Source organism: Homo sapiens, chromosome 2, assembly GCF_000001405.40.
Source record: "Homo sapiens chromosome 2, GRCh38.p14 Primary Assembly".
Taxonomy (NCBI): domain Eukaryota; kingdom Metazoa; phylum Chordata; class Mammalia; order Primates; family Hominidae; genus Homo; species Homo sapiens.
The window spans coordinates 196,124,767-196,148,235 of record NC_000002.12 but is presented as its reverse complement, the minus strand read 5'-3'; the positions used below and the strand labels follow the sequence as shown (position 1 = coordinate 196,148,235).

The 23,469-nt window shown below is 38.4% G+C and overlaps 1 protein-coding gene across 7 annotated transcripts in view; it reads left to right on the top strand.

Annotated features, from left to right (window-relative positions):
* STK17B (serine/threonine kinase 17b) overlaps positions 1-14,653 on the top strand; it is a 42,901-nt gene extending 28,248 nt beyond the window's left edge. For 6 of the 7 annotated variants that reach the window (XM_011512169.2, XM_011512170.2, NM_004226.4 and 3 more), the window contains 5 exons: positions 2,181-2,325; positions 4,550-4,676; positions 6,939-6,987; positions 8,437-8,616; positions 10,507-14,653. In XM_011512169.2, the coding sequence (XP_011510471.1) occupies positions 2,181-2,325; positions 4,550-4,676; positions 6,939-6,987; positions 8,437-8,616; positions 10,507-10,789 (784 nt within the window). In that variant the 3' untranslated portion in view covers positions 10,790-14,653. Of the gene's footprint in view, positions 1-820; positions 999-2,180; positions 2,326-4,549; positions 4,677-6,938; positions 6,988-8,436; positions 8,617-10,506 lie in introns of all 7 variants that reach the window. The other variant, XM_047446335.1, reaches the window with a different exon arrangement.
* Positions 14,654-23,469: the final 8,816 nt, after the last annotated feature.

Sequence of the window (23,469 nt, the reverse complement as noted above, 5' to 3'; positions counted from 1 at the left end):
CAAGGGCCGCTAGGCAGTGTGTATATTAATTATTCTTGAAGATTAGTGTATTTCTTTTTTTAGATTAAGAAAATGTGAATTCCCAAAATTGTCTTTCTATACCTTATTTTGGAGTTCACTACTATAAATTTAATAGCAAACTACACTTTTCAATACTCAGATTATCTTTATCATGATATGTTGAGGTAGATATTAAAATTAATGTCTCGGCCAGGCACGATGGCTCACACCTGTAATCCCAACACTTTGGGAGGCCAAGATGGGCAGATCACGAGGTCAAGAGATCGAGACCATCCTGGCCAACATGGCGAAACCTTATCTCTAATAAATACAAAAATTAGCCGGGCGTGGTGGCATGCACCTGTAGTCCCAGCTACTCGGGAGGCTGAGGCAGGAGAATCTCTTGAACCCAGGAGGTGGAGGTTGCAGTGAGCCGAGATGGCGCCACTGCACTCCAGCCTGGCAACAGAGTGAAACTCCATCTCAAAAAAAAAAAAAATATATTATGTCTCATGAATTTACAGCAAGTTTTGGTGAGTGTAATGGGGTTAAAGTGACATATATGTGATTGGAGCTTTCACGTGTATTCCTTATAAGCTGTCCTACAGAGTTTTTTTCTGCAAAGTCAGAAAGTGTAAAGCACCATATGTTTGCGGCTTCTAACTGGCTTACTGTGTTTAGATTGCTCAATTGCAAATTATATCTAGAGTGTGAAGTGTCAGTCCTTGTGACTTTCAACTTGGGACTGAAATTTGAGCCCACCATTATTTTTTCTTCTTATGGCTCCTAACACTTATGACATATTTTTTCCTCTTGGCAGTCACTGAGACTTCTGAATCCCCAGCTTCAACCCCTCTAAAGAATCGCTGCCCATTCCATCATTCATTCATTCAACAAACATTACTGACCACCTACTGCAGTGCATGCTAGATACTGTTCTTGATGTGGTTGTAGCAGTGAGCCAAAGAAGTAAAAATAGAGTAATAGTATTTTCCAGAGTGAGTTACTATTTTATCAAATAGAATATACTTGTGTATTCCCAAATATACCTTACAAATTTGATGAATAACTGTATAAATGTTTTTGCATGATGTTCTAATTTTATCTTATTTAGATTTAATCCCTCCTAAAAAAATCTGTGGATTTTATTGATATTTCTGCTTTATGGATGACTATAAGTAACTGACCCTAAGTTATATTGCAGGTAAATAGAAGAGTTAGGATTTATGTTTCGATAATTCATTCCAAACCTAGGAATTTTTCACTGTGCCTTTTTCAGCATTCTTTAAATTTCAGTTCTTTAGAATTTATTTATTTATTTATTTGTGTTCTGGCCCCAAGTATTCTGCATGAAGCTACAGTACAAGATGGTATTGGCTAAGAATGCAGATTCTTACTCATATTCAAGTTTGTTAACCTAATTGTACTTGTTTCTACTGTAAAATGGGTGTAGTAACCATGTACCTCACATGTTTGTCATGAGGCTCAAAATAGATGATATATATATAAGAATTCATATATATGAAAACATATGTATATATATGAATACATATAGATGTACATATATGAGGAGAGCACAAAGAGCTACTATTTTTATTATCTTTATTGCAGTGAAGGCAGGCTGCAACATTATTGGATCATAAAGCAATTCAGTTTTATTTATTAATATTCAAGTATTAGTACCCAGAATTTGAAATAGTCTCATCACTTATTTTCTTTTTTCTTTTTTTTGGGGACGGAGTCTTGCTCTGTAGCTCAGGCTGGAATGCAGTGGTGCCATCTCGGCTCACTGCAACCTTTGCCTCCCAGGTTCAAGTGATTCTCCTGCCTCAGCTTCCCAAGTAGCTGAGATTATAGGCACCTGCCATCACACCCAGCTAATTTTTGTGTTTTTAGTAGAGATGTTTCACCATGTTGGCCAAGCTGATCTCGAACTCCCAACCTTCAGTGATTCGCCTATCTCAGCCTCCCAAAGTGCTGGTATTACAGACATGAGCCACCGCACCCAGCCATCATCACTTATTTTTTTCCTTAAAGATCTCTCACTTCCCTGCCCTATTTTTAAGTGTAACGTATTAACATTTATATAGTTGTATGTCTTTTACTTAACAGGTACACAATATTTAAAAGTGTTTAGGTGAATGAATTTTCAAGTCTCTGTTCTTTGAATTTTATTTTAGTGCTGCAGGTGGAGAAATTTTCAGCCTGTGTTTACCTGAGTTGGCTGAAATGGTTTCTGAAAATGATGTTATCAGACTCATTAAACAAATACTTGAAGGAGTTTATTATCTACATCAGAATAACATTGTACACCTTGATTTAAAGGTAACGTAACGTGATTTAAAGTAATGCAACATCTGTGTTCTTCTTCTGCTCTTAGTATGCACAGTTGCAAACTGGTATTAACAGGAAACAATGGTTGGTTCCTGGTCTTCTAGACTGCACTGGTGTGCTCTTTGCTTACGTGTGCCTATGTGGCCTTAATTTTATATTGGCAGAAAGGAGAAGAGTGCATGTGTAAGCAGCTCAAATTACTGGGCTCTTAAAATGCATCATTCCTGTGTTCTAATCCTACATTAGATGGAATTATTCCATTCCATCCCACTCTTACAACCACATCCTGGACCTTCTTATTTTAAAATGCTGTCTATCTCTGAAATGCTCAATTGTGTAATCTCCATCTCTGAAAATAAATCCTGCTAATCCTCATGCATTTGCTCCTATTACCTTCATTCATTTTTGTCTTGAGGTTTTCAGTCTTTTGGCTTCTTCCAGATCGTTCAGGCTCTTTACCCAAGCCCCGAACCTCCAGTCTCTTATCTCCATCTCTCATGTTGTTATCCTTTCTCCTTATCCTTCTTTCATAACCACACAAGGACCTTAAGATCTGAATCAGTCTGTGTCTCATTTTTTGAGCATTAGATTCTTCTGTTTTTATATGGTGTCCTTGCATGACCCTTTGGCTTCTATTACCACTTTAATAATAATAATAATTCAAAAATCTCCACCTACAGCCCAGGCCTCTCCCTTAATTTCCAAATCCTCTTACCGCTTTTTCAAAAGAAAAAACCCTGTAGTTCTGTTTTGGGCCCCACTATGGAGCAGGGGGACAGTATTTACCATCTAGTATCCCTGCTATTTCCCCAACTGATAAAATATTGGAAAAGAAGCAACACAGTAAATGCCAAGATAATCACGCTCCCACCAGCTTCCTGTTGGGTCATTTTCCTGCTAACATCAACCCAAGTACATTACATAGCATCACATAGCCCTTGAAGTGGGATGGCATATAAACCTGTGGTTGACAACAACAGAGCTAATTACCTTTACCTTTTCTCCTGTAATAGGCTCTGTGCTTTAGTAATAAACAAGCATGAGATTGCCCCAAAGTTAAGCGACTGTTATAATTCTTTGCACAGATTTTGGGAGCAGCACCTTGGCAGAGGTATGGGTTATGACAGCAGCAGGGGACTTTGTAATAGGCCGTGGGCCTGCAGTAGTAGTAAAGCAAAGTCACGTGGTTTTAGGAGGCAATGGATGAGGTGTACTATGCCCTCTTATTGTCTAAGCTAAAGCCAGGGAACAGTCAGACCTGGCTCATCCAGAATCATCCCATTGTACTGAACCATTTTTCATTTCTGGAAATGTTTACGTTCTCATTCCTTTATGCCTTCTTTTGTGCTGTTCCCCAGAGCACCTTTCTGTTGTTCTTTTTTTTTTTTTTTTTTTTTTTTTTTTTTTTTTTTTTTGAGACAGAGTCTCGCTCTGTCGCCCAGGCTGAATTGCAGTGGTGCGATCTTGGCTCACTGCAAGCTCCACCTCCCGGGTTCACGCCATTCTTCTGCCTCAGCCTCCCAAGTAGCTGGGACTACAGGTGCCTGCCACCACGCCTGATTTTTTTGTATTTTTAGTAGAGGCGGGGTTTCACCATGTTAGCCAGGATGGTCTTGATCTCCTGACCTCGTGATCTGCCTACCTCAGCCTCCCAAAGTCCTGGGATTACAGGCGTGAGCCACCATGCCCGGCCTCTTTTTTTTTTTAATTTTTTAATTTTTTTTTTATTTAAGAGAGGGTCTCACTATGTTGCACAGGCTACTCTTGAACTCCTGAGCTCAAACGATCCTCCCACCCCTGCCTCCAGAGTAGCTGAGACTACAGGTTGACACCACCGTACCCAGCTACCCAGAGCACCTTTCTAACCAGCATACTCTTTTAAGTCTCAGCTTACGCATCATCTCTACTGCAAAGCCTTCTTGGAATTTCTTATTGACAGAATGAGGCAGTCTTTTTATTACTGAGTATTCTATATCTTAATCTTTCCATTTAACTTCTTTTCTCTTCAAACCTAGAATCCTTTTTGGGTGTGTTTTTGGCTTTATGCATCATTGAATAATAGCTCCGCCTAAGTAGTAAGTCAGTAAATGTTTGATGCATGACTCAATGAAATGTATAATAGCTGAGCAATATCTTCCACTTAATATACTTTCCATCTGAGACTAGTATGCTTTTTTGTATATTACTTATCATGTTTTTGTTGTACTTTGTTTAGCCACAGAATATATTACTGAGCAGCATATACCCTCTCGGGGACATTAAAATAGTAGATTTTGGAATGTCTCGAAAAATAGGGCATGCGTGTGAACTTCGGGAAATCATGGGAACACCAGAATATTTAGGTAAGAATTTCCTTTTATTTTCTATACCATTTTGAAATTTATTAAGTAAATGATACCTCTGTAGAACTATATTTTAGAGCATGTAATTCGATTCAGTTAAAAGGATTTGATTGGTTCAAGTATTTTGATACATTAAAACTTGGTTAGGTTAAGACACATTTAAATGAAATGAATAAAAGTATGAAACATTTACAGCAATTCAGGGGACACTGAATATGTAAGTGTACAAGTTGAATGTTTGTGTATAAAGGATTTGTACATAAGGAAAAAAGAAATGGGTAAGAGGGAAGTTAGGGAAAAAGAGAAAAATGGAAAAAGAAAAACTGCTGCAGTGAAGTGGCCCATGATTGTCTTTGAAGCCTGGCTGTTGGCTAGATCTCACTTCTATTTCTGGTCCCAATTCCAGAGCTGTTCACAATACAGATATCTTCAGTTTAAACTTACAGGAATTGTTAGCCGGCCACCTCATTTTTGTTTATTGCTGCTGCTTTAGAATATGAGGTTTTGCATAGGGTTGTGAAAGTAGGGTTTTGAAGAAGAGTGCCAAAAAGAACCTTTGATTAGGTAATCTGGGCATATTGTGTGAAATCAACAAATTAGATTATGCATATGAAAGGTTTTTAAGTTGTATGAAGCAGTATATAAATTTGAAGTATTTTAACTTATAATCTTTTTTCTTTTTTCTGTTTATTGTTTATACTGATGTCCCCATGTGGACATTGAAAAGATACAGTTAAACAGAACAGATGCGACTCAGCTAGGCAGCTGTCTTTTCCAAAAATAAAAAGCAGAGAAAATTACTAACTTTTGAATGCTAACTGGGGCTATAGTCCTAGAATAAATGAATGTAATTATTGGTAACACAGCTCACAGAAGTATGTGAAAATGTAGGTGGTTTAACAGAAGCTGACTGTATATGATTTAAAGGCTTTATTAATAAAAATGTTAGGCTTTAGGAAACAGTTTCTCTTTGGAGAAATTATGAAACCATATTGTGAAACAAGAAACTTATTTTTCACTCATAAATCCTAGTTTGGACTGTACTAATTCGAAATAATATGGTAATGTTTAGAAAGCATAGAGAATTTATTTTGCACTTTTTTTTTTGGCAAGTGAAGACAGCAGAAAATTAATTGCTTTGGAAATTAGGTCCTTGATAATTTAAGAGGAATGTTTAATTCACTGGAAAATCTAGCATTTCTGGCTGGGTGCAGTGGCTCACACTTGTAATCCCAGCACTTTGGGAGGCCAAGGCGAGTGGATCACTTGAAGTCAGGAGTTCGAGACCAGCCTGACCAACATGGTGAAACCCCATCTCTACTAAAAATACAAAATTAGCCAGGTGTGGTGGTGCATGCCTGTAGTCCCACCTACTTGGGAGGCTGAGGCAGGAGAATCGCTTGAATCCAAGAGGTGGAGGTTGCAGTGAGCCAAGATCATCATGCCATTTGTACTCCAGCCTGGGCAACAAGAGCGAAACTCCGTCAGAAAAAAGAAAATCTAGCATTTCCGAGAAGCAAAATTTGCTCATGATGTCATTGCAGATGCACATGATCCTATTTACCCCAAAAGAAAAACCTAAATTAATCTAAGAAAATAATGCAAATTAATTCTAAAGTAATAAAACTAATTTTTTTTTTAAATTCTAGCTTCCAGAGTTTTACTTTTTTATAATTGTTTTTTTCTGAGATTAACCTAAATGAGTTTAACTACCTAGCCACTAATTACTCCAAGAATATTATCCATGTTTTTGAACCACCTGATCATATAATTTACTCAATAATAGGGATGTTTAAATGTCCAATCATAGGATAATTAATACTGTGCTAAATTTCTAAATTTCTATCGTCTTATATCACTAGGCTTTCCAAAATTAAATCCAGTTACAATTTTTATTTTTTCCGAGACAGAGTCTCACTCTTGCCCAGGCTAGAGTGCAGTGGTGGGATCTCAGCTCACTGCAACCTATGCCTCCCGGGTTCAAGGGATTCTCCTGCCTCAGCCTCCTGAGTAGCTGGGATTACAGGCATGTGCCATCACACCTGGCTAATTTTTGTATTTTTAGTAGAGACAGCGTTTCACCATGTTAGCCAGGCTGGTCTCGAACTGTGATCTCAGGTGATCTGCCTGCCTCAGCCTCCCAAAGTGCTGAGATTACAGGCATGAGCCATCATGCCCAGTCCCAGTTATAACGTAATATAAAGTGATTTTCTTGTTTTAAAATTTGTCAATATTGAATTTAAGTTTTATCTTTTCTTTCAGCTCCAGAAATCCTGAACTATGATCCCATTACCACAGCAACAGATATGTGGTAAGATGTTGTTAGTTACCTTAAACATCTTTATGGAAAGTTGGGAAACGTATATTCTGGGGTTCTTTGACTCCAAGAGTAATAAATAATAAGGCTTTCTTCAAAAGATTTTATTTGAATATCATTATTATGCTACAGGAAAATATTTACCTTTCCATTATTTTTAAATAACACTTAACTTCTGAGCCAAAAGTACAGAAATTAATAGGAAAATCTCTCTCTGTGATGAAAACTCAGTTGAGTAAAAGAACAAAATACTTGCAGTACATTGCTACATATTTTATGATGAAGGTGAAATGCTTAATAAGCATAGAAGCAGCAGCAGACAGTCCATTGCCGGGCTCCACCTCACAAAGGGAGACATCTGATCTAGGTCTAAAAGAGTTGGCCGGGCGTGGTGGCTTACACCTGTAATCCCAGCACTTTGGGAGGCCAAGGCAGGTGGATCATCAGGTCAGGAGTTAGAGACCAGCCTGGCCAACATAGCAGAACCCTATCTCTACTAAAAATATGAAAATTAGCTGGACGTGGTGGCGCGTACCTGTAATCCCAGCTACTCAGGATGCTGAGGCAGGAGAATCACTTGAACCAGGGAGGCAGAGGTTGCAGTGAGCCAAGATCATGCTATTGCACTCTAGCCTGGGTGACAAAAAAAAAAAAAAAAAAAAAAAGCTAGAAGAAGGTATTTGTTAAGCAGAATAATTAGGTCAGGCCCACCCAAAAATGTACTTTTATGAGAGTACATCTCTGGGAAATTATGAGTTTTTGTAGCTAGCCAAGAGAGAATACCATAGGGAATAGAACCAGAACTGATACTGGAGCTTCAGTTGAGACCACAAAGGGGACTGACTCCTCAGACCAAGTGGAAGGTTTAGACCTGTTCTGTGTTCTGTGGAACTGCTCATGGGTTTGCCCAGGAAAAAAGATGGTATGGCTAAATAAGTTGGTGAAACATGTACTATATTGTCTTTTTCTGGCTCCTGGGCACCAGACTTGCCATTAACACATTTACAGATTTTAAAAGGTTTGCAGTGAAAAAATTTGCCTGCCCAGCTTTGTGCTTCGCCAAACTTGCAGCCTCTATTTGTGCAGAACCTCTCTTTACATCTCACAAGTCATTACTTTGCCATTGGAAACCACTTAGGAAATGCTGCAGCAGCTTTGTGTACTCCACGGCAGGTATCTGTGTGAAGGATAGACGGTAGCAATAATATATATTGAATACATTGTATTTATATAACACGTGCATTCCCTTGTGTTCTCTTTCTGTGAGGCACACTTTGAGATCATTATTTTAGTTTTAATAATATAGGAACTTTGAAAAGCAATGTAAATCTGTAGTTTAACCGTACCAGTTTTGAGGAGAGGAGTATGTTGAATGTCGATTGTACTTTGTATAAATGTTTAAAAATTAACATACATTTTAAGTTCCCCTCCCTTGTTTTTCAGGAATATTGGTATAATAGCATATATGTTGTTAACTCACACATCACCATTTGTGGGAGAAGATAATCAAGAAACATACCTCAATATTTCTCAAGTTAATGTAGATTATTCGGAAGAAACTTTTTCATCAGTTTCACAGCTGGCCACAGACTTTATTCAGAGCCTTTTAGTAAAAAATCCAGAGTAAGTAATAATTTGTTTAAATACTATTACAAATTTAATTTGTTTAAATACTATTACAGAATAAATAATATATACCTATTAAGAAAGTATATTCTAAAATAGTATAAAATTATTAGAAATATGTACAAGTTCTAGGTAAAATAGGTGGTATGAGCAATCATTAACAAATACATAACTTCAGATATAAAATATACAACAGGGGATTTTGAAGTAAAGAAAAGATTTGAGTTACTTCTCTCACAAACCACTACTAATCCCTGAAATTACCTAAAATAATTAGTCATAGAAATTTACAATACACATGGCTGGTTATGATAAGACTTTATTGTAAATGATTTACAGTTTAATGATTTTACGGCCGGGCGCGGTGGCTCACGCCTGTAATCCCAGCACTTTGGGAGGCTGAGGCAGATGGATCACGAGGTCAGGAGATTGAGACCCTCCTGGCTAACACGGTGAAACCCCATCTCTACTAAAAATACAAAAAAATTAGCCAGGCATGGTGGCAGGCATCTGTAGTCCCAGCTACTTGGGAGGCTGAGGCAGAATGGCGTGAATCCGGGAGGCAGAGCTTCCAGTAAGCAGAGATCGCGCCACTGCACTCTAGCCTAGATGACAGAGCAAGACTCCGTCTCAAAAAAATAAATAAAATAAAATAATTTTACATACATAACAAGTATCATTTACTGATTGTGAAATCTTGAAGGATTGGATGCCCTTTGACAACCTTACAAAAGAAGCGAGTCAGCTGAGCGAGGTGGCTCACGCCTGTATTCCCAGCACTTTGGGAGGCCAAGGCGGCCAGATCATGAGGTCAGGAGTTCGAGACTAGCCTGGCCAATATAGTGAAACACCATCTCTACTAAAAATACAAAAGTTAGCCGGGCATGGTGGCATGCACCTATAGTTCCAGCTACTCAGGAGGCTGAGGCAGGAGAATTGCTTGAACCCAGAAAGCAGAGGTTGTGGTGAGCTGAGATCGCACCACTGCACTCCAGCCTGGGTGACAGAGTGAGACTACATTGCAAAAAAAAAAACCAAAAAAAAACCAAAAGTGATTTGGAGGTTAGTTAAGCACCGTCTTTCAAAATATAAAGACCCACTAGCTTTACTAGTAACTCATCCTATGAACATAATTAGAGAAGATCCCAAAAAACATTTTCTCAATATTCATTGAAGCATATTTATAATAGCAAAATGCTAGAAGCTTCAATGGGCATCTGGTTAAATAAATTATGGTGTATCCATATGGAAGAGTACTAAATAATACAGCTGTTAATAAATATGTTAACTCTGTACTGATGTGGAAAAATGCTTGAGATGCATTATTGAGTAATAAAGCAAATTGCAGAAACATGGAGTATGTGAAGCTGTGTATGTGTATGTGTGTGTATATGTTTGTGTATGTATATGCACATATATGTAGAAAAAATATCTGGAAGTGGGATTGGGGAATGAGAAAACAATTTTACTTTTTATCTTCATGAGAGATAATATGGTGTAATGCTTAAAAGCACAGACGATAGAGTCAAAGTTCCACTTAACTACCATTTACAAGTTAGGAGATTTGGGGTAAATTTCAAGCCTCCTGGTACCCTACTTTGCATATCTGTTAAATGAGGGTAATAATAGTACCCATTTCATGAGTTTGTTATGATTGTTAAATAATGTATTTGAAGCGTATAGAATAGTCCCTGGCATATAACTAAGCATTCAGTAAATGTTAGCAGCTATTATCATTATTATTCTCTTCTGTACTGTTTGGATTTTATACTATGAGTATGTTTTATTTTCACAAGAAGTAAAAAATATGTCTATAATCTATCAAACTGAAGACATTTTCAACTTGATTTTTAGTTCTCAATTTTCCCTTGGTGCTTTCTTTCAAAGGAAAAGACCAACAGCAGAGATATGCCTTTCTCATTCTTGGCTACAGCAGTGGGACTTTGAAAACTTGTTTCACCCTGAAGAAACTTCCAGTTCCTCTCAAACTCAGGATCATTCTGTAAGGTCCTCTGAAGACAAGACTTCTAAATCCTCCTGTAATGGAACCTGTGGTGATAGAGAAGACAAAGAGAATATCCCAGAGGATAGCAGCATGGTTTCCAAAAGATTTCGTTTCGATGACTCATTACCCAATCCCCATGAACTTGTTTCAGATTTGCTCTGTTAGCACTTTTTTCTTTGACTCATTTGGACTGAATTTGAAATTTTATATCCACTCCAGTGAGATTATGATTTGTAGCTTCATATATGACATGTTTATATTGTAAATGCACTTTTCCATGGAATAATTTAGGGAAGTGTTTTAATGTTAAATTACTAGTTGCTAGCATGTTATGATTTCATATCCTGAGATAGCTCTGCAGATAAGAAAATATTTAAATATATGACAAAAAGTAAAATTGTACATGTGAGTTTACATGTTAATGAAATAATTCAACTTCAAATGAACTTACCAGAATGTTTTGCATATCAACAAAAAAAGTGGCTTGAGTTTTATTATAGTTGGTGTAAACTGAACACAGTGAAGACATTGGAATTTAATAGGTTCTCTCTCTAAGGTGACTCTTATACCATGCCTCTATCAACATAATTTGTTTAGGAAAGCAGTATGAAGTTTAAGCCAAAATAATTTCTACTTTATAGATGCTCAAGAGACATTTTACAATTGAAAATGTCTTTCAATTACAAATATTTTGAAACTTCGTAAGATTTTCATTCTCTGTGGTCTGTTATATGAGAGAGATCCTTTAACTAGAGCAAAGAGGGAGTTAGAAACCTGATCAGGGATATTCTTTACAAGTTGGAGCAGAGGAAAGAGTAGCATGCCTTCGTATTTTAACGCAAATGTCTTTTTCCTCCTCCCAACCTACTTGAGATCTGATAAGGTCTGGAAGATGGAGATATTTGGTATGCAAGTGTAGAGTTTTTTAATCCTCCAGAATTTCTAGAGTAGAAGATACTTAGGTATAGTTAAATATTCTGTATTTTTAGTCAAACATATTTATTAATTGAATATAGAAGAAAATGTTGACACACTCAGACAGCTTACTGAATTTTAGATGTCTTCTGCATCTTAGAATACAAGCCAGTCATTCAGAGTTCTAAAAGTATGCATAAAAAATTACAGCACCGGTAGGTCTATTAACACAGTGCCCGAGTCAGCGGTAGCAAGACTGATGTGATCATAAAACATGACATCAGGCTCGTCTGAAGTTCTTGTGTGAAATTCCTAGTGAGTGAGGAGGCTCAGCTTAAAGCCATCTGCAGAGTGGCCCCTCATTGTGGTCTTTTGCTGGGACCAATGCAAGAGACTAGGGAGAGCAAAATGTTTGCTTATGGCTAGAGACTATATCCAGCCCTAATGATGGGGAAAGTTAGTCCTTTTCGGGTAATCTTTTATGAATTTTCACCTGATGACCGTTATATTGGTCTGTTATCATGTTACGATAACTGTGATCTCATGACCATGTTGCTGTATCAGAAGAAATAGTTTGACAAATGGTAACAACAACCTGATGTTCCCCCTTTAGACCTTTAACTTCTCAAAATTTTGGTAAGTTTCCAAATTCTTTAATAATAACTTAAAACTTTTTGAATAACTATCAGGTCACTTTATTTGACCACATGGTGAATTCCTTTAATGTCTTCAGCATTTGTTAAGGAAAAGTTTTCTCTACTTGTGTGTGTATGTGTGCACATGTGTGTATGTACAGGTGTATGTATATATCTATAGATAGATACAATACATTCTTTAGACACTTTTCAAGATTCTTTGCTGTGGTATATTGTGCTCAACTCAGGTGCCAAAGGAGCTTTTTTTTTTTTTTTTTTTTTTTGAGATGGAGTTTTGCTCTGTCTCTCAGGCTGGAGTGCAGTGGCATGATCTCAGCTCACGGCAACCTCTGCCTCCCGGGTTCAAGCAATTCTCCTGTCTCAGCCTCCTGAGTAGTTGGGATTACAGGCGCATGCCACCGTGCCCAGCTAATTTTTGTATTTTTAGTAGAGACGGGGTTTCACCATGTTGGCCAGGCTGGTCACAAACTCCTGACTTCAAGTGATCCACCCGCCTCGGCCTCCCAAAGTGCTGGGATTACAGGCGTGAGCCACTGCGCCCCCGCCCAGGAGCTCTTTTCTTATGACATATAAATTATGACATTTATATTCTTTATATGACTTTATGTTCTCTTCTTATGACATTTAAATTCTTTAAGTAGTTTGTTGGTCCAATAAACTAGACGTTGTATAATCTAAATTGAGCCCTTGTATATCTAAAACTGATGAGTTGTTTCTAAATTGTTGATTGTCCATTTACTTGCCTTTGGTATTAAGATAATGCAAGTAAAGTTTAGTAAGTCATTGGATAATGAAATGATTATGTTTCTGAAGACCATATTATATTTTTAATTTTTAGAGGAATCATGCCATCCCCCAAAAAATCAAGAAATATTTGAATTTTAAATTATAAGTTCATTTGTTAAAAGACATTTTTACAAATGTCTGAAAATCTTAAAATACTTTACATCTACCTTTAAGTAGTAGAATACAGAGCTGTAAATTTCCATGCCTTTTTTCCTGATATTAAGTTTTATAGTAAAAAAGCAACTAGTGATTGCACAAAGAATATAAAAATCCACTCTTTTTACAAAGGTGTGAATTTAAATAACGTTATTGATTGGAATATGAAAATAGACCAATCATTTAAGAGCTTTTTAGCAAATGATTCAATTCTTACTCTTTTTCTCCCAAGATTGAAAAGCATAATGTATTTCTCTAAAGTAGGAATCTAGAGAGCCCCTGTGAGTGGACAAATGTCAGTAACACTTGAACACATGAGAAGATAAGTGTTATGTTGTGATAATTTAAAGTTAAATTTGCTTTTTGGGTAGGATCCCTAAATAGATGGGATTTTTAAATAGATGATATATAGATGACAATTGCAATTGTCATTTTAATTATTTTCCCTACAGTAAAGAACCTAGCTCTGAGCAGTGAAATTGTAATGGCACTTTAAAGGAAGTAAGCCGTTAACTGTTCTCTAGTGGAGCGATCTCCAACTGTTTTGGCACTAGGGACGGGTTTTGTGGAAGAAAATTTTTCCACAGGACTGGGGGTTTAGGGGGATGGTTTCAGGATGATTCAAGTACATTACATTTATCATTAGATTCTCATAAGGAGCATGCAACCTAGATCTCTTGCACGTGTGGTTCACAGCAGGATTCGAGCTCCTTTGAGAATCTAATGCCATGGCTGATCTAACAGGAAACTGAGCTCAGGCAGTAATGCTTGGCACCGCCCCCCACCTTCTATGCAGCCCGGTCGTGGCCTGGGGACTGGGGACCCCTGCTCTAGTCAGTAATAAGGTACTTGTGCCAGAATATAAATCAACACATTGCTTCCTTTATCAAAGAAGTCTTGTTATTTAAAAAAAGTCAACTGAGCCAGTATGATTAGTGATGTAATTGATTTTCATTCTGGCACAAGCCTCTTTCATTCTGGACAGCTCACAAATAGTTAATGGACCATGCTTTGAATAGCCTTCCTCTAAGCAACATTTATAAATACTGATATTTTAGAACTGTTTACATTTCTTCTGTTTATTTTTGAATTTTCAGTTTGATATCTTGTCCTTATTCATTGTTGTATAAACAACTGTACTTTAATTTCAAGTAGTATTAAAAGTATTTCACTTCAGTTTGGGGGGATTATTATCAATTTATAATTTTATAAAAGTATTTTAAAGAATAATTGTAAATTTTCCATAAATTACAACTTCCTGCCATATTTTATTAAATAATAATCTTGCTTAAGGCATATAGACAGACATTATTATGAGTATTCCAGTAAAAAAAATCTACATCAACTTGACCATTCTGGCTAAAAATTAAAAAGCACTTTTTTATATCTGTGGTTGTCATTTGTTTCAAAGCATTTCTAAATTTATTGTTCTTAAAAGTATGTCTGCATGTTCTAGCCTTTGACCTAGGTCATCTATGAACCCTCTTTGTGTCTAATAAACATATCTGTAAAGGCATATAAATCTGAAAACAAGTAGGTCTATTCGCTGGTATCAAGGAATAATTTTTAGAAAATGTCAATGAATTTAACTGTACTACATGTTGCACTATAGTGCACTACGTGTTACACACAAGATGAATGAGAGATTCTTCAAGATATTTATAATCTGGTTGTAGACTAAGGTACAGTCAATTCTCATTATTCATGGTAGTTATGTTCTATAAAGTTCCCATACTTTAGTTACTAATCATTGCTCCTAGGGGAAATACAGAGTTAGGTTCCTGCAAGGCTCTGTTCATAGCATTTTAAACAATTGATCAATGCATAGTTTTGTGTATTTCTATTTAATTGTACATTTAATATATATTGTTGGTTCATTAACATTGAACTAACAGGCAATAGCACTGTAATTCATGCCTGAATGAAGCTTACCTAACTTGTTTTTGAGGGAGAAGGAAAGGGAAAAATGATTGGAAAAATTCAGACTGCAGAAGCAGCCTGCCTGAAAAGTCACACAGCAACAGGCAAAAAATAAAACAACCTTGGAAAAAACTCAGGCTGCACATGGACAGGTAAGAAGATGAGGCTGTAAAACACAGATAAACAACTGGGGCACAGAAGGAGGGGGTGAGTCTCCCGGGTAATCACCAAACTTCACACTCATATAGTGGGCCCCAGTAAAAACAGTGGGCCTTAATAAGCACATTCCTTTCCTTTAGGCACACTAAGCTAGGGAAGCCAGAAGTGGATATTGGAGGGGGATACCTGCAGCTGGAAAAAAATGTCTGGGAACAGTCACAGAAACTCTCCCTCCCAAATAAGTGACACAAAGCAGCACACAGCAACACAGATTAAGAGTCTGCCTAGGTTGTCAAGGAATCAGGTAAAGGCTGATAGAAACTCATGCTCTATGCAGATAGCACACCTGGTCCCAACTAAAGCTTCAGGCCCTAGGAGGATAAGATGCCCCCTTCCTCAGTAGCCCATGTATAAAAACCCTGACATTTTTACTGGAAACCCACTGGGGACCCCTCTCTGACAGCTGTTCTTTCCTTTTACCTGTTAAACTCCTGCTCCAGTTTCTGTGTGGGTTTGTCTGCAACCTCAATTTCCTTGGCCATGAGACCAAGAACCTTGGTGTTTACCCCAGACAATGAGGCTGCTTCATTTTGGGGGCTCGCCCAGGATTTGAAGGTGAATTAATCAGAAGGGTAAGGGAGCAGACTCTCTACTTTCACTTCTGAGGCTTCTCATCCTCAGTTTTTATTCTCTCAAAGAACTATCAAAAAAACAAGGTATCTGTCTGCTGATTAATGAGCCACAAGGGCTAGCTGCCGGTCTTAAAAGACTCAAATGTGAGGCTTGCTGGGGAGGACTTAGTCCATCCCCAGTGCCCTCATGGTGCTGGGAATGTTGGCTCTGTCCAAACTAGTTTTCTGTCACACACAACTTTGCTATTGCATGGGTCTGGAAGAGGTCCTGGAGCAACTGAGGATTTCTGGCCAGGGCTACTCCTGGACTGACCCCAGCCTCCAATTGCCCAACCAGGTGTCGGCCATAGGATCACCAAGCTTTCCTATGCGAACCTTAGTTTCCTCCTTTCCTTTCCACAGTCACCATGTCTCTTGTGCCGTCTCTGTATGCACTGCTGTAGGAGTTTTTACATCCCGGGGAAATAATTCAATTAGGCAAGCTTAGCAACCACCTTAGCAATCAGGAATGCAGGTCAAAGTTTGCTGTTTTCGTGACTTTCTACAGACAGGGGGACTTCATGATCCAGATCTCAAAGACTACTTAACTCCTAATGATAGCACTTCCTGGGGTTGGGTAGGAGGTCATGCCCCACCCAGCGAACATCTCTCTTTCCACCTGGGCTGTTTCCTTTCCCATGTGGGGAGCCAATACTGCCCAGTTGTACTGGATAGCCCCTCTATGAGACAAATGAACTTTCTCCTGCTAGGAGGTATGCTGGGAACAACTTGCCACATGTCAGACTTCCCTCTCTGTCCTTTGTTCAGAGGGCATATGGAGGCAAAGTTACTGCCTGGTATTTCAAGGCTTACAGCGCCACCTAGTGGGATGAGAATTCCCTCCCTGGGCGACCTTGTATGCCCTTTGCCAAAAGCCTCTAGTTTTCCAGTTCTTCTCTTTTTTACATCTGCTAGAGACCGACGTTATGCCCCCTCTGCAAGCAGGAGATCTCTGCTTTCAGCAATGAGGAGAAATATGTCCTCCAAAACCAAATTTTAGTCTCAACATGTACCGCTAGGGTACATGTTCCCTTCTCATTACAGGACCTTAGGGAAATAAAGAGACACTTGGACAGCTTGGGCAGATTTTCTGATGACCCTGATACGTATATAGAGGCTTTCCAAAATTTAACCCAAGTGTTTAATCTAACATAGAGAGAGATGCTATGTTACTTTTAAGCCAAACTCTGTCACAGAAAAGCCTTATAGGCAGCAGAAACATTCAGAGATAAACAGCATATCTCCTATAGCCGGTCTAAAATTCTTTTTTTTTTTTTTTTTGACCAACTCTCCATTAGCAGGAAGGCCACCCACCAATTGACCCTTATGTTCTTTTGAGACACTTATTCCGCCTACAACTAGAATGGCATCTAAATAGAAAGGGGATTTTATGTCTGGAAGTTAACTAGAACTGCCACCTAAGAATACATTCTCTAGTCCGGTCCATAATAGTAGAGTATGAAGCTCAGTCCAGTATACTCCCTCCATTAAAGGACCTTGCTCAAATGCAACTGTTACATAATCTCTCTCAAGACTCACCCATCAAGGAGCCACGCAGGTCACACAAGTCTGGAAGATCAAACGGCAATCACCAGGCAGGGGACAAAGGCTACATGGGTATGCGTGACTATCCCCATTATTTAGCTTCTCTGGGACCATGGTTTGAGGGTCATGCCTGCAACCACTGGGTGGCACACACAGTGCTGGGACCCAGGGACCAGGGAGGGGAACAGTCAGGGGGACGCTCCCATTGTCTTCCCCTCTACCTTGGGTCATACCAAAAAGAACAAGGAGACTGAGGAATGCCTCTTCTCTTGTCTCTTTTCTAGGATGGGTAGCAAGCCATCTTCAGCCTGCACACCTCTGGAGTGCATTTTGAACTCCTTTGACCCCAAAACTAATTTTATTTTGCCCAAGTGCATGGTCGTCTTACCATCCCAAGAGTGAACAGACCTGGCCAGCTGAAGGAAACCTTGACTTTAATCTTATCCAACAATTAGATCTTTTCTGTAGACAGAAGGGCAAATGGTCCAAGGTCCCCTATGTACAGGCTTTCTCTGCCCTGCAAGACAACCCAGACCTTTGCAAGCATTGCACAATCACCTCAGCCCTCTTAGCAATCATATCAGGCAGGTCTATGGAGAGTAGTTCCCCTAAGAAGAGCAGGTTTTAGAGGAGCCATTGGAGGTGGCTTCTAAGTACCCCAGTCCTTCCAGTTTCCCTTATCCAGCGACCCCTCCAATTGTGCCATCAGCTCCTCCAGCTCCACCATCTCTGAAACTCCGCATTGCCCAGTTTCACTCCTACCCCTACAAGAAATGCCAGATGGAAGGGGTACCGCTAGGGTACATGTTCCCTTCTCATTACAGGACCTTAGGGAAATAAAGAGACACTTGGACAGCTTGGGCAGATTTTCTGATGACCCTGATACGTATATAGAGGCTTTCCAAAATTTAACCCAAGTGTTTAATCTAACATAGAGATGCTATGTTACTTTTAAGCCAAACTCTGTCACAGAAAAGCCTTATAGGCAGCAGAAACATTCAGAGATAAACAGCATATCTCCTATAGCCGGTCTAAAATTCTTTTTTTTTTTTTTTTGACCAAGTCTCACTCTGTCGCCCAGGCTGGAGTGCAGTGGTGTGATCTCGGCTCACTGCAACCTCCACCACCCAGGTTCAAGCAATTCTCCTGCCTCAGCCTCTGAGTAGCTGGGATTACAGGTGTGTGTCACCACACCCAGCTAATTTTTTGTATTTTTAGTAGAGACGAGGTTTCACCATGTTGGCCAGGCTGGCAGTCTAAAATTCTTGAAAGGAAAAAGTCTAAAGGAAAAAAAAGGGTAAAAGAGAGACAGGATCCCCATTCTCAATAGAAAGAGTGCCCCTTTAAAAAGTGTAATTGGAGCCCTAGTGATCCCACAAACGAATGGCAAAGAAAACACTTTCTAATGTGCATGTTAAAGGCTTGCAAAGAACCAGAACAAAACCTCTTAATTACTCTAAACTGTCCTTGTTGAACCAGAAACCAGATGGAAACCCCTCTGCCTTTTTGGAAAGGCTGAGAGAAGCTTGAATAAAATATACCTCCCTATCTCCCAATTCAATAAGAAACAGGTTCATTACTTAGGCAGCCCCTGATATCAAAATAAAGTTGCTGAAACAGGCTCTGTCTAAAGATCTTTCTAGTTTTTCTTACCCTCAAGTTACAACTTTGCAGTGTGTAAATGACATTCTCCTCCATGCCCCAATCAAAGAAGTCTCAGAAAGGCACTGAGGCTCTCCTCAATTTCTTAGCTGAAAGGGAGTATAGGGTCTCAAAATCTAAAGCTCAGTTCTGTCAAACTTCAGTAAAGTACCTAGGTCTAATCTTATCAGAAGGAACCAGAGCACCAGATAAAGGAAGGATTAAGCCCATTTCCTTTAACAGTTAAGGGGATTCATTTGTCATTACTGAATTTTGCAGTCTGTGAGTACCTAGGTACAGGGAAATGGCTCACCCTTTATATCACCTCATAAGAGAAACTCAGTTAAAACTCGCCCCCACCTGCTTTGGGAACCTGAGGCTCAAAAGAGCCTTTAACCTGCTAAAGCAATCCTTACTTAAAACACTAGCCCTCAGTCTTCCCATAGGGAAAACATTCAGGCTCTATGTATCAAAAATGAAGGAAACGACCCTGGAAGTTTTAACTAAGGCTTAAAGTCCAGCTCAATAGCTGGTGGGTTACTTAAGCAAAGAACTTAACTTGGCGGCTAAAGGATGGTCAGCCTGCCTCCAAGCAGTTACAGCAGTGGCTTTGCTGATGCCAGAGGCCACTGGGTTAACCACAGGGAATAACATAACTGTGTAACCCCCCACAGTATAGCAGGACTGCTGTCCTCTAAGGAAGGGCTCTGGGTAACAGACAATTTCCCCCTTAAGTATCAAGCCTTGCTGCCAAAGGGATCTGTAGGCCAGTTGAAACCTGCCCTTGCCTGAGCCCAGCCACTTTCTCCCAGAGAAAACTGGAGAACCTAAACATGATTGTAAACAGGTAGTAGTGCAAACTAGGGAAAAAATGGTAAGAATCACTGTTTATATTCTCTGTAAAGTTTTAATTAAGGAAAAAGGATTGTCTTAAAGAGTGCTCAGCTTAATTGAAAGTGGATATCCAAGCTATGGATATATTTAAAAGGCCGTTTTTCTCTTCATAAATCTGTTTTCCTGGAAAAGGTTTTTTTTTCTCAGTCAACTGAATTACTCTTTTCACTACGTGTTGCCCCTCCTGGTGCATGCATGAAAGACCCTAGAATAACTTCTGGTAGCCTGGGACTCCTTGGGAAAACAGAAAAGCTGCCACAAATCCCATTTTGGGAAAAATCTCTATTTTCCTCATGGAACTCCTGGAATTAGAAGGGAATAAGTATCTCTCCAAATCTGTCTTTGTCTTCTGGCTATGCCTATTTATTAGGCCCTGGAAATTGTATTCCTAGTCCTATTCTTAAAGGGCCTCACCCGGAGGCCAATAATCCAACTAGGAAATTGGCAAATGTAAATCATATAACTACTGGATCTTCTGTTTGTCTGTGTGATTATATGTGTGTTATGTGTGTAATGTCTTTTTAAAAAGAGCTCTGATTGGCCTAAGAAAAATAAGTGCTTAAATCAAATATTTTTAAGAAAAAAGTAAAAGCTGTGGTACCTTTCAGTTCACGTGACTTTAATCTTAAAAAATAAAAAAAGTCTTAAGAATTATTGGTAAAATATAAATGACTTCAAGGTGTAAAAATGTGGTCTAAATTACACAGGTCAGATACTAGGTTTGCTAAATGTTTTAAGATTGTAAACTGCTTCTTTAGCCTTTAAAAACTGTCCAGCTTGCCTGCTTCACATTTGATAAGGCCTGAGAACATATGGAAGTAACCATGCCCCTAACTATGCTAAAAGGAATCAAACTTTATCTGCATCTAGTACATAATTAAAACAACCTACCAGGTTTTACATTAAAGTAAAAATTTCTAAGAGTTACCATTATGACATGTAGTTGAAATTACCGAACATGGAATTGCATGCAAGATGTGTTAAAAAAAAAAAAAAAAAAGGCAGTAAAAGGTGTTTCTTGTTAAAGATTATAAGGCATGGAAAGGTACATTTTGCCCAGAAACAAAGGATTGTCTTAAATTAAAATAAAGCAGAAGGTTTCAGCAAATTGTAAAAAGATTATAAACATTAATCTTGCAAAGGAAACTCTGTGTGTGAACATATTAACTAAATTCAAAAGGGTATTATATGGTTTTTTCTGTAAATTAAACACTGGAATAAAAGCACAACAAGGTTTTCTTAAGATGCCAATCCACTCTTTAGCAAAACTTGTCAAGGGTTATAACGGATATGTAAAAATCTTACCTCATGGTCAAACTGGTTAAGATTAAGTAGGATTGTCTATAAGGTTTCATTAAAAATTAGGGTTAACATTAATAGCAAACTAATGCAAGGGTGAAATTTAACTTTCTCTCTTGAACAGGATTTTCATGTAATAGAAAAAGCTGATGAATGGCTTTTGCTTTTTCAAATTTTTGACTCACCATTTTGGCAAAACAAATAGAGTAATCTAAAAATTATGTTTCATAATATCAAGTGTTTTAAATTTCGAACATATTTAACAGGCTTCCCCAAATCAAACTTTAGTCTCAAGGTTGTCTTTCCTGACCCCTGTCTTTTGGGTGCTGAAGAGAGCCTCTGGAGCTTCTGGAAGAGAGGCAAACAGAGTTGTTTAATATGTTTGGTACATAGAATTGCCAAAATGATGTTTAATACTCTTCAGGTTATATTTTAGGGAATAATATCAACATATGTTCCAAAACTGTAAGAGATGTCCAAAGTTCCAATGTCTGAATATGTGCTATTAATCACAATTAAGGTTGTTATGTTGGGTTATTGTAAGCCATGGAAATAACCAAATTTGTCAATCATATTCTTGACTGTAAACACCCTGGACATTTTGTCATTTACAGGGAATTGTTGTCTTGTTTTAATCTTCTTCTTCTTAAAAAAAAGTTTATAATCAGTTATGGAACTTTAACAGGTGCTCTTAAATACAGATTTCTGATTAAAAAAATGTACAGAACTCATAAAAAGCTGAAACGTTTACAAATATCAAGCAGAAAAAGAGTTAACTGAGCGGACTGAACTAATAGAAAATTAAAGCAATATTCTTGATTTATTCTTGGAACATTGCTGATCCTTATTTTATTTTTCAAAGTCAAGGAAACTTGTCTTGAGCTAGCTACAGCCTTTAACAACTAAGTAAAGTATACTCCTGTAAACAAAGTTTCAAGCATGTTTGTTTCCTCTCTGCCTGGTTCCTCCAGAATTTAAAAACTAGTTGTAACATATAGTTGTTTGCATCAGTGCAATAAGAATCCACTTTATTTTGCAGCTGGACACAATTGGAAAAACTGGTTGTTTTAACAAGCCTTTGACGGGAAGGGTGTGTTTCCCTTTAAGAAGTCAGGCTTGACTTGCAGAGCCAATAAAAGCCCCTTGGGAAACTGGCCTCATTCCTTGGCTACACCATCTCCATACGGGATTCCTAACCTGTGGTGAGTAAAGAATGTCACTTTCTGACAGGCCTAGGAACTCCATGCTCTTGGAACCTCAAGAAGAAAGAAGTTTACCCAACTCACAGGTATTTGAAGGTACAAACCCATGGCTGGGCTGGGATTTAGAAAGGAATCTTATCTAAGATTCCTTGTGGAATAAAGTTCCATCAAAGCAAATCTAAAAGGCCTGTGTGGCTGGGCGCAGTGGCTCACGCCTGTAATCCCAGCAGTTTGGGAGGCTGAGGTGAGTGGATCACCTGAGGTCGGGAGGTCGAGATCAGCCTGGCTAACATGGTGAAACCGTGTCTCTACTAAAAATACAAAATTAGCTGGGCATGATGGCAGGCACCTGTAATCCCATCTACTTGGGAGGCTGAGGCAGGAAAATTGTTTGAACCCAGGAGCCAGAGGTTTCAGTGAGCCAGGATTGCACCACTGCACTCCAGCCTAGGTGACAGAATGAGACTGGTCTCCAAAAAAAAAAAAAAAAAAAAAGCCTATGTAAAAATAGTTATTCTTGTTGCACTTTATGCAAATAATCAAACCAAGTTTAAAACTAAAGTCTATTTTGCAAACAACTCAGTCCTATCATAATTTGTTTTTAACAGATATGAGGACTAGAAGAGGGAAAATATGTTCCAAACTTATCATGAATCTATTATTAACATCTAGTCTCATTAGTTGTTTTTAAGTTTTTGCCTACATTTTAAACTAACCATGCTTATTCCTGTGAGCCAACCACCAATCTCCAGCTGTGGCTCAACGGAGACAAAAAGGAATGGGTAATGTAAAAATCTGGATCAATATTCTAGTTCTAAGCAATTATCCTGCAGATCCTGCTGGGTAATAGGAATAAATAGGGTGCCCATAACCCAAAAATCTCTTTGGAAGGATAAAATCAAGAAAGTTTAACACAACCGAGCCCCAAACACTCAAATCTTTTGTTTGTTTGTTTGTTTGTTTGTTTGTTTGAGACGGAGTCTCGCTCTGTCGCCAGGCTA